The sequence below is a fragment of the Homo sapiens genome, chromosome 7, assembly GCF_000001405.40.
Source record: "Homo sapiens chromosome 7, GRCh38.p14 Primary Assembly".
Taxonomy (NCBI): domain Eukaryota; kingdom Metazoa; phylum Chordata; class Mammalia; order Primates; family Hominidae; genus Homo; species Homo sapiens.
In genome coordinates, this window is record NC_000007.14 from 129,061,635 (window position 1) to 129,073,806 (window position 12,172).

Here is a 12,172-nt window from a genome sequence, read left to right on the forward strand (position 1 = left end):
TGAACAAAAGAAAAGAAAGATTTTTTTTTTTAAAGACCATGCCTTTGAATTGGATTTCACAGCTCCCTGCTAGGAAAACAAGCAGTCACAATTTTCTCTGGTAGTAACGGGACACTTACAGGATAAAAAGATGTATGCATAAGAATGTTCATCCTAGTGTGGTTTCCCCTAATGAAAAAGTAGAAATATCCTCAATGTCCATCAATAGGCATCTTGATGTCCATCAAGAACTTTAGGATATATGCATGCTTTGGATACTAGACAGCCACTGAAAATCAAGCAGAAATGACTCTCATTAATTTTGTTACATATGGTAATGATATTGGGGCTATATAGGAAAATGTCCTTACTTATTTAGAGGTACAGACAGTCCCCGACATGATTTTTTGACTTTATAGTGGTGCAAAACAGCTACTTGTGGGGGCTGAGGCAGAAGAATCACTTAAGCCAGGGAGGTTGAGACTACAGTGAGCCGAGATCACACCACTGCACTTCAGCCTGGGTGACAGAGTGAGACCCCGTCTCTAAAAAAAAGAAAGAAAGAAAGGAAAAGAAAAACAAAAATCATAAATTGAAAATGCACTTTTTATGTGTGAGATAGGGTCTCACTCTGTCACACAGGCTGGAGTAAAGGAGCGCAATCTCAGCTCACTTCAGCCTCGACCTCCCACGCTCAAGTGATTCTCCTGCCTCAGCCCCTCAAGTGGCGGGGACCACAGGCCTGCACCACCACACCCGGCTAATTTCTTTTTACTTTTGGTAGAGAGGTTTCACCATGTCGCCCAGGCTGGTCTCAAACTCCTGAGCTCAAGCAATCCACCCGCTTTGGCCTCCCAACATGCTGGGATTACAGGTGTGAGCCACTGTACCCGGTCTGCACTTTTGACTTACAATAACTTCAATGTACTATGGTTTTGCATATACTAAAATACTTAGGCACAATGTAGTATAATAAAGAATATATCAAGTCTTCATCCCCCATTCCTGGCACAGTGCTTCAAATGCTCTTGAAATTTTCCAAGTGATGGCAATGCCTTTGTTACAGTAATGAAGTGACTCTGTGCAGACCCCTAGATATCTTCAGGATGAGGTTTGGTGACCAGAAAGACCAACCATGTGTTTAGAAGGTTGGGACTCTGGGCCCCTTGGAACTCTGGTAGGAACTCTAGGAGAGAGAGGAGCTTAAGATGAGTTCAATCATGTGGTCAATTGTTTAATCAATCATGCCTACACTTTGAAACCCCAGCAAAAACTCTGAACACCAAAGTTCAGTGGCTGATCCTAGTTTAACACATTGGTGTGCTGAAATGGTGATGCCCCGTGATTCCAGGAGAGGGCATGGAAACTCTGTCTTCCTCCCAGGCCTCTAACAATTTTTTTTTTTTTTTTGAGATGGAGTCTCACTCCATCACCCAGGCTGGAGTGCAGTGGTGCGATCTCAGCTCACTGCATCTCCACCTCCTGGGTTCAAGCAATTCTCCTGCCTCAGCCTCCCAAGTAGCTGGGATTACAGGTATACACCAACACGCTCAGCTAATTTTTTTATATTTTTAGTAGAGACGGGGTTTCACCACGTTAGCCAAGCTAGTTTCAAACTCCTGACCTCAAGTGATCCACCTGCCTCTGCCTCCCAAAGTGCTATGATTACAGGTGTGAGCCACTGCTCCAGGCCATGTTTTATAATAAAACTTTAATCATAAGTATTATGCTTTCCTGAGTTCTGTGAGTTGTTCTAGCAAATTATCAAGCATGTGGGGACTGTGGGAACCCCTGAGTTTGCAGCCAGTTGGTCAAAAGAGCAAGGGCTTAGGGACATCCCAAAGTGAGGCTGATGTCTGAAATGAGAGCATCTTATAAAAGACTGAGCCCTTAACGCCATGGAGTCTGATACTAACTCTGGGTAAATAACATCAGAATTGGGCTGGGCATGGAGGCACATGCTTATAATCCCAGCACTTTGGGAGGCCAAGGCAGGTGGATCATTTGAGCTCAGGAGTTTGAGACCAGCCTGAGCAACATGGCGAAACCCCATCTCTACAAAAAAAAAAAACAAAAACAAAAAACAAAAATTAGCCAGAAGTGGTGGTGAGCACCTGTGGTCCCAACTACTGGGGAGGCTGAGGTGGGAGGATCACCTGAGCCTGGGAGGCAGAGGTTGAAATGAGCCAAGATCGTGCCACTGCACTCCAGCCTGAACAAGAGCGAGACCCTGTCTCAAAAAAAAAAAAAAAAAGTTGCTGTTTTTTAAATAACCAACAGCCCTTTGAATTGAATTATAGCTCACCTAGTTGGGGTGGAAACAGAACAGGTAAGCTGTTCATCATGTCTATAATTGAGTTTAACATATAAAAACCAAAAAAAAGGTAAAGCAAATATGGCAAAATAATAATGTTATAGGGAATAAATAAATGTGTTTACCATTCTCTCTACTTTTCTATATGTTTGAAGTTTTCCATATTAAAAAAAATTGCTTGATGACTCATGACAGAAAAAAGTAAAAGCTGGAAACAAAATTGTATCAGTTTTTGTTTATTGACACAAAAAGATATCTCAGAAATATTATTGGAAAAGAAACAGGTTATGAATCAGCCTGTTAAAAATGCTTGTTGATACAAAAACATATTTGTATATTGGCAAAGAGAGGGGTTTGGAAGAATAGACAACAAAATGTTAACAATGGTTATCTCTGGTGATGAGATTTTGAATGGTTTATATTTTTTTCTTTTTTTTTTTTCTTTTTTCTTTTTTAAGACAGAGTCTCCCTCTGTCGCCCAGGCTGGAGTTCAGTGGCGCCATCTCAGCTCACTGCCATCTCCACCTCCCAGGTTCAAGCAATTCTCCTGCCTCAGCCTCCCAAGCTGGGATTACAGGTGCTCACCACCACACCCGGCTAATTTTGTATTTTTAGTAGAGATGGGGTTTCACCATGTTGGCCAGGCTGGTCTCGTTCTCCTGACCTCAAGTGATCCACCTGCCTTGGCCTCCCAAAGTGCTGGGATTACAGGCGTGAGCCACTGCGCCCAGCCAGTTTATAGTTTCCTTTTTGTGTTTTTCTTCATAGCACTATCACCACTTGACACATTCCATACTTTTGTTGTTTTAGCTACTCCCTTCATTAAAGTGTAAGTTCCCTGATGAGAAAAGAAAATAGCTTTAATCTGAGGAATGAGAATTCTTTTAAATTATCAGGCGCAGAGAGGCATGAAAATGAAACAATCACGCCCTACTTCCCCATTTTGAACTATGTATTCGTCTCTTGAACTCCTTGCTATTGCCACAAGTAGCTAAAAATTAACTAAAATTAACCTAATAATGCCATACCAGACACCATAACCCACATTCTGTAGCTTAACAGTGTATGGCACTCAATAGTCAATGTTATTTCTATAAACCAATTAGAATTTTTGACAGATAACTTTGTATCGGCCTACTAGGTTTCCCCCTTTTTTGACTTTAAAAACCTGCTATAGTAAAGGCCAAATGGAGCTCATATCCAAGGGTACTTGGGTCTGAGACTTCTGGGCAGCTCTTCTCACTTTGTCTCAAATAAATTCTTTCTGACAGGGTCTTTCTCTGTCACCCAGGCTAGAGTGCAGCAGCGCAATCATGGCTCACTGCAGCCTCCAACTCCTGGACTCAAGTAATACTCCTGCTGAGTAGCTCCTAGCAAGTAGCTGGGACTACAGTTGTGCACCACCATGCCCAGCTACTTTTTAAATTTTTTGTTGTTGTTGTTGAGATGCAGTCTTGTTTTGTTGCCAGGGTTGGTCTTGAATTCCTTGCCTCAAGCGATCCTCCCACTTCAGCCTCCCAAAGTGCTGGGATTACAGGCGTGAGCCACTTTGCCTGGCCTCTAGTAAACTCTTCAAATTGTATTTTGTGTCTCTGCCTCTTTCATTTAGGTCAACAATGCAAACAGAAACTCTGTGTTGGTCACTGCCATATCCCCAGTGCTTTGAACAGTGGCTGGCATATGGTAGACAGAAAATAAATAGTTGTTGAATGCGTTAATAAGGTTCACATCATTTGAATCTTTTTTTTTATAGACAGGTTCTTGCTCTGTTGCCCAGGCTGGAGTGCAGTGGTGGGATCATAGCTCTCACAGCCTCAAACTTCTGGATTCAAGTGATCCTCCCACCTCAGCCTCCCAAGTAGCTGGAACTACAGGCCTGTGCCATTATGCTAATTTTTAAAATTTTTTGTAGAGATAAGATCTCGCTATGTTGCCCAGGCTAGTCTCAAACTCCTGGCCTCAAGTGATCCTCCTGCCTCAACCTCCCAAAATTCCAGGATTACAGGCGTGAGCCATCACGCCCAGCCTGAATTTTTTCTTTATAGTGATTGTTTACATTTATTATAGTTTTTAAAAATTAATTTTTTTTAATTCCAGCACCCATTTCAGAAGGGTCCCTGTACATCCCTGTCATCACATACACAATAACTGGCCAATAGTAATGATCATGTGAAGTAACTTTTGGGCTTCATTGATGAGAACTTGGTCTTTTGGGGTGCCACCAACTTCAATTATCTTGGCGCCAGCTAAGAGTTGCATTATAAGGCCAGACATGACAATGGGAGAGATCCCCAGCTCCAGCTCCATCAATGTGCCTCTGTTAGAGGCTAGAATCACTCTCATCCAATAGAAAGGGTCAACTGAATCTGAAGACATGATACCAAATAGAGGAATCTGGCAGCACACTAAGAAGATAAAGAGGGCAATAGTGGTCCACAGCACTTTCTCCTTAAACTGAATCCTCCTCTCCAGCTTCTAAATTTCCAGCAGGATGACACAGAAGGGCTTGATGACTTGCAGAAATTTGATCACCATGGCGGCGGCTGCTCAGGCTCTGGGTCCCGCCTCGGCTCAGCTCTGCTCCGTGTGAGGCAACGCTGCCCGCAGCCCAGCCTGTTCCACTGCACAGCTAAAGAGAGAGTCTGGCTATGTTGCCCAGGCTAGCCTTGAATGCCTGAGCTCAAGCGATCCTCCTGCCTCAGCCTCTTAAGTAGCTGGGACTACAGGCACAGGCCGCCACACCCAGTGATTACTTACATTCTTAACAAGCATATTTTATCAAAAACAACACAGCTGGAGTTTCCCTGCCCCCCAAAACAATGACACTATAAACTTGAAGTTATAATTGTCAGGGGCCAGTGTTGGCTGAATCTTGGTGGCTGTTTGTGGAGAAAAGGCCACATGGCACCAACCTCTCCTGACTCAACTTCTCCTGACTTACCAGCCCTCAGGGCACATACTCTAGACCAAATTCCTGCAGCTGCACAACCTAAGACAGCCACAAACCCAGCACCAAACACATTTCTTTTCCCTCAATTAAACCCAATTCAGGGTTTGCGTGCTGAGGACAGCATCTGCCTTTGTCTGGCTCTTCAGCTCAGAACCACCCTGAGTCATAGCCAGCATTTCACTGGATTTCAATTGCAAAGCAAATGCAAACTGGTGGGAGGGGCTGGAGGTGGAGGACACTGAACCGAGATCTTGAACTTCCATGAATCATGATGTTACAGAATTTTTTTTAAGGAATCAGAGAGACCAGTGGGGTTCAGGAGGATATTTATTATTTAGGTGCACCGGCTCAGTCAGATTAACATCCAAAGGACTGAGCCTTGAAGAAAGAGTTGTTACCTTTTAAGCATTTCGTAGGGTGGAGGGAGATCCGTGCAGGGGAAAGTATACTACAGAAGCGAGAAGCAAAGACAGTTTTTCAATTAATTGAGACATGCATTACATCATTTCTTACTTTTCAAGGAAAAACATGTTTTATGACTTGAGTTTATCTGTCTAGTGACCTTGCAGCTGCATAGCTAGGGAAATAGGGTCTTCACAATGCCTGGGAAAAGAGGAGAGATAAAGCTTACTAGCCACAGAAAAATAGGCAGTTAATTTTTAAAGGACTCCAGCTCTTTTTCTTTCTCGGGGGAATTGGGTTTTCTTACATACAGCTGAGTTTCTGCTTACACACTCTTTAATTTCTTTTAATTCCTGTTTCAATGAGAGCACAAATTAACTGCCTACAGCCACAAGGAGCCTTGCTGGAAGATTTTCTGAGGGACAGTTGTGACATGCTGGGGTGGGAAAGTACTAAGTAGGTCTGCATTCTTCTGAACATAAACAGAGTGAAATTCATTTCAGAAAAGGAAATATGATACAGAGAACCCCAGGGAAACAGAATAGAAAAAAAAAATCCTAATTCAGTAAAAGGAGCACCAAACTACCCCTGACCCCATCTCTCTTAATCACACTCAAAGGCTTTCCTTGACGGTTTTCTCTTTGGAATCCAGATGTAGAGGAGGGAGAAAAGTAGCTTTCACCCCAAAAAGATTAATTTATATAATTCATATTATATCCAGTTTATTGATACCCAGCCCTGAAGTATACTTCAGGGTGGTGAGCAATGCATTGGTGCTGGTGTGATCTGGCCGAACTGCTGGACAACCAGGCTGATGGATCAATGCTCTTCTCCCACAAATACAAAAAGCACCGCTCACTGTAAGGGGAAAAGTGACTCTCGTACAGCACTAGGAAGAGAGCTGTCCTAAAAACCAGACTCCTTGGTGCCAATCCCAACACCACTTCTTTCCAGCCAGGTGACTCCAGCCAAATAACTACCTTCCTAAGCTGGATTCCCCTACCAAAAGGGGAACCAGACACAGTGACTCACACTTGTAATCCCTGCACTTGGGGAGGCCAAGGCGGGAGGATGGCTTGAGCCCAAGACTTGAAGACCAGCCTGGGCAACATAGTGAGACCCCATCTCTGCAAAAAATAAAAAAATTAGCCAGGCAATATGGCATGAGTCTGTAGCCCCAGCTACTCTGGAGGTTGAGGTGGGAAGATCCTTGAGCCTGGGAGGTCAAGGCTTCAGAGAGCTGAGCTGTGATCACGCCACTGCACTCCAGCCTGGGCGACAAAGTTAGATGCCCCTCCAAAAAAAAAAGCGGGGCATTGGGAGGCAGGTGTTCATAATACCTACCAATCCAACATACAGGAAAACCAGATAATGTGAAAGTGGCTTGGAATTGGTTCACTGTAAACAACTATAAAATGATTAAACACTGTTTTACAAATATGTGGAGTCAGTAACTTCTGGTCTTAGAAATAATATTTAGAAATAATTCACAGAATCCGGGCACCGTGACTCATGCCTGTAATCCCAGGACTTTGGGGGGCTGAGGCAGGTGGATCACTTGAGGCCAGGAGTTTGAGGCCAGCCTGGCCAACGTGGTGAAACCCCGTCTCTACTAAAAATACAAAAATTAGCCGGGCATGGTGGCAGATGCCTGTAATCCCAGCTACTTGGGAGGCTAAGGCTGGAGAATTGCTTGAACCTGGGAGGCAGAGGTTGCAGTGAGCCGAGATGGAGCAACTGCACTCCAGCCTGAGCGACAAGAGCGAAACTCAGTCTCAAAAAAAAAAGGGAAATAATTTACAGATTTTTACCAAAACCCAATAGCCCTTTGGAACATCGGAAGAATCGTGTATTTAATGAGTTACCAAGTCAGGAAACAAGACAAAGTCTTGGCTACCCCACCAGCCAAGCACCCTAGACCACTGTCACATTACCACACTGCCTGCAGCTTCCTGCTTCCTGGGGCCAAACTGCTTGGCAGCCAGCTATTGCTTCCTGAAGAATTTAGATATTTACATCCACTCATAACTCTCCCCCTCCCTGTCACTCTGCTTAGTGGGTACTGAGTACGTACCTGCTCTGGTTCCACACCACTGCATTTAGACCCCAGAGGCTCTTTCCCTGAACAAACTCAAAGCCCTCATCAATGTCCTCCAGCGTTCTAGATCTCTCTGCAGCCTCCAATTTCCCTCTTCCTCCAATGCCCAAATCCTCACCTTCCAGGACTCCAACTTCCAGGACTCATTCCTCTCTGGTTGTCACTCTGATTCTTAATCACGGCTATCAACCCATTGCAGGTGAAATCACCTGGGGGACTTTTAAAAATACCAATGCCTGGGTGCCTTCCTAGAGCAATCAAATCAGAAACTCTGGGGCTAGGTCTGGAGTGCCAATCTAGGTATTTTACAGCTCCCCGGTGATTCTAATGTGCAACTGTGTTGATAGCCATGCCTTCATTTTGTTACAGAAGAGTTTCTCAACGGGAGAGCCACTGGCATTCGGGGGAATTCTTCCTTGTGCAAGGAAGCACTGCAGCCTGTCACTAACACACCCCAGTCATAGCAGTAGCCAAAAATACATTAAACATCTCCACATGCCCTTAGCTGAGAATCTCATCAACTCTTCTTCCTTTCATGCGCTTCTTAAGAGTCAAAGCATACATACCCCATGGCTCTTCAGGTTTTTGGTTGCTTTTTTGAGACAGGGTCTTGCTCTGTCACCCAAGCTGGACAATGGTAAGATCTCAGCTCACTGAAGCTTTGACCTTCTGGGTTCAAGCAATCCTCCACCTCAGCCTCCCAAGTAGCTGGGACCACAGGTGCATGCCCCTATGCCTGGCTTATTTTTAAATTTTTTTGCAGAGACAAGATCTTCCTATGTTACCCAGGCTGGTCTTGAACTGAACTCAAGCAATCCTCCCGCCTCAGCCTCCCAAAGCACTGGGAGTACAGGCATGAGGCACCATGCCCAGCTGGCTCTTCATTTCTTTTTTCTTTCTTTCTTTCTTTTTTTTTGTGAGATGGAGTCTTGCTCTTGTCACCCCAGGCTGGAGTGCAATGGCGTGATCTTAGCTCACTGCAACCTCCGTCTCCTGGGTTCAAGCGATTCTCCTGCCTTAGCCTCTGGAGCAGCTGAGACTACAGGTGCCCGCCACCATGCCCAGCTAATTTTTGTATTTTTAGTAGAGACAGGGTTTCATCATGTTGGCCAGGCTGGTCTTGAACTCCTGACCTCAAGTGATCCAACCACCTCAGCCTCTCAAAGCGCTGGGATTACAGGCGTGAGCCACCACACCCGGCCAGCTTTTCAGTTCTTATATGACCAATTGTTATTTGCTTAGGACTGAGGGGTTTTCCAGGACATGTGATTTTCTTTTTTTTTTTTTCTTTTTTTTTTTTGAGACGGAGTCTCACTCTGTCGCCCAGGCTGGAGTGCAGTGGTGCCATCTTGGCTCACTGCAAGCTCCGCCTCCAGGGTTCATGCCATTCTCCTGCCTCAGCCTCCCTAGTAGCTGGGACTACAGGTGCCCACCACCACGCCCGGCTAATTTTTTGTATTTTTAGTAGAGACGGGGTTTCATCGTGTTAGCCAGGATGGTCTCAATCTCCTGACCTCGTGATCCACCCGCCTTGGCCTCCCAAAGTGCTGGGATTATAGGCATGAGCCACCGCACCAGGCCTGACATGAGATTTTCAGCGCCAAATGCAGGGAAGTCCTAGGCAAACACAGATGATTGGTCATCCTAGATTTTCTTGTAGTGTCTTCCCTAAGAGATAAAATTTTTTTTTTTCTGTTTCCCTCATGCCTTTTCTGGGATCTAGGCCTTCCCAGCCCAGCCTTCCTCCATTTAGGGATATACTAGGAAAAGCCTGGAGGAAGTTGCTGATGCAAGCCGGATCACCTGAGTTCCTCCCTGGGAATTTGCAACTGGAACTAGATGCCCGTCTCAGGTTGCCTTGTGCTCCAAAAGAGTTTTTTTGTTGTTGTTTGTTTGTTTTTGTTTTTTTGAGATGGAGTCTTGCTCTGTCACCCAGGCTGGAGTACAGTGGTGAGATCTCGACTCACCGCAGCCTCCGCCTCCCAGGTTCAAGTGATTCTCTGCCTCAGCCTCCTGAGTAGCTGGGATAACAGGTGTCTGCAACCACGCCCAGCTAATTTTTGTATTTTTAGTAGAGATGGGGTTTCACCATGTTGGCCACGCTGGTCTCAAACTCGTGGCCTCAAGTGAGCCGCCCGCTTTGGCCGCCCAAAATGCTAGGATTACAGGTGTAAGCCACCATACCCGGCCCCAAAAGAGATTTCAACTTAGGAATTGTCTGTGGTCATTTTCTACCGTGAAGACTTTTGCAGGGATGTGGAGGTGAATGGTCAGTGGAAGACAGCTTGTCTGCAACAAGAGAGGAAACGCACATGCAGAGCAGAGGTGAGATGGAAACTTTCCCCAATTTCCCGCAGTGGTCTGGGCCAGGGATTCTCAGATGTGAGCCTCCATCACCAGCACCTGGAGAGTTTGTCAAAACACAGATTGCTAAACTGGGCACGCTGGCTCACCCCTGTAATCCCAGCGTTTTAGGAGGCCAAGGTGGGTGGATCACCTGAGGTCAGGAGTTTGAGACCAGCCTGGCCAACATGGCAAAATCCCGTCTCTACTAAACAAAAATTAGCTGGGCATGGTGGTGGGCACCTGTAATCCCAGCTACCTGGGAGGCTGAGGCAAGAGAATCACTTGAACCCAGGAGGCAGAGGAGGTTGCAGTGAACTGAGATTACGCTGCTGCGCTCCAGCCTGGGTGACAGAGCGAGACACTGTCTCAAGGAAAAAAAGAAAGAAAGAAAGAAAGAAAAAAAAACCCCACAGTCTGCTGAGTCCCACTGCTAGAGTTTCTGAGTCACGAGGCCTGGGGTGTGGCCCAAGGATCTGCTTTTCTAAGGAATTCCCAGGTGGTACCGACACTACAGGTTAGGGGCTTGACTAATGGTGAGGACCCCTGCTCTGGGCCAGAGGGCTGAACCAGAGAGCTTAGTTCAGCATCCTCCCCAGAGTCCCCACCCAGCCTGTGAGCATCCAGCAGGCCCAGTCCCTGTCTTTGGGTTACATGAGTCTGTATCTTTCTAACAAATTCTCCCTTTTTTCCCCTAAACAGCTTAATTGTGATATAATTCACACACCATACTTAATTGTGATATAATTCACACACCATACAATTCACCCACTTAAAGTATTACAACTCAGTGGTTTCTAGTATATTCACAGAAATGTGCAACCATCACCACAGTCCATTTAAAAAGGAAGGAAATGTTGACACATGCAACAATACGGATGAACCGAGGACATTATACTAGTGAAATAAACCAGTCGGAAAAAGACAAATATTATTTGGTTCCACTCATAGGAGGTAACTAGAATAGTCAGATTCACAAAAACAAAGTAGAATGGCAGTTGCCAGGGGCCGAGGGGAGGGGAAAATGGAGAGTTGATTTGTACAGAGTTTCAGTTTTGCAAGATGAGGGAGTTCTGAGGACTGGCTGCACAGCGATGTTGTAACCACATTACACCAATCTGGTTCAACTTCTATGTAGCAAAGTTGTGAGTTGTTTTTCAGTGGTCATGGCCCTGCAGGTTGGAGGGGGCAATGCCCGGATGAACATCGTGTGCAACCATGAATGGGAACTAAGTGCTCGGACCAAGGAACCAGGCTGAATTAAGAAGCAAACACCAGGCTGGGCGCTGGTGGTGTACGCCAGTAACCCCAGCACTCTGGGAGACCGAGGCAGAAGGATTACTTGAGCCCAGGAGTTCGAGACCAGCCTGGGCAACATGGTGAGATCCCATCTCTAAAATAAAAAATAAAAATAAAAATAAAAGCAGACACCATGGCAGGACCCATGATCCAATCAGATTGAGCTCTGGGGTGACCCTATGGCAGGATCTAGTCAGATCACTCCTCATTACCCTATGCTAATTAAAATCCAACCCAGCCTCCAGCTCCAGGAGACAGATTTGAACATTTCTTCCTGTCTCTTTGTCTGTCAACTCACAAACCTTTCTCACTGCAAAAACTGTGTGTTTTGGTGTTTGGCTTTCTGTTGCATGCTGGCAAATGGACCCAGTTTTGGTTTGCTGACAATGCGAATATACTTAACACTGAACTGTACATTTAGAAATTGTGAAGATAGTGAATTTTATATTATACCTTTTTTTATTTTGCCACAATAAAAAGTAATTTTCTCTGTCTTTTTTTTTTTAAAGACATATGGCCTCTGTCACCCAGGCTGGAGTGCAGTGGTGTAGTCATAGCTCACAGCAGCCTTGAACACCTGGGCTGAAGCCATCCTCCCACCTCAGCTTGCCAAGTAGCTGGGATTACAGGCATGAGCCACTGTGCCTGGCAAAAGTTATTTAAAAACTTTTTTAATGTCTTTTAAAAGGAGACTTTCTGATGTGGTCAAAGGAAGCAGTTGGTATCCAGATTCAGCTGAACTTAATACACTTCCTTGGTTTAATTTATGGAAATATTTATATAGTTC

General features: G+C 45.2%; 1 annotated feature.

The window, feature by feature from the left end:
• Positions 11,102 to 11,211: an enhancer, noted in NCBI's record as "active region_26617". NCBI's record gives its function as "activates an Ori minimal core promoter by ATAC-STARR-seq in GM12878 lymphoblastoid cells {active_cell/tissue: GM12878}" and the evidence as "EXISTENCE:reporter gene assay evidence [ECO:0000049][PMID:35858748]".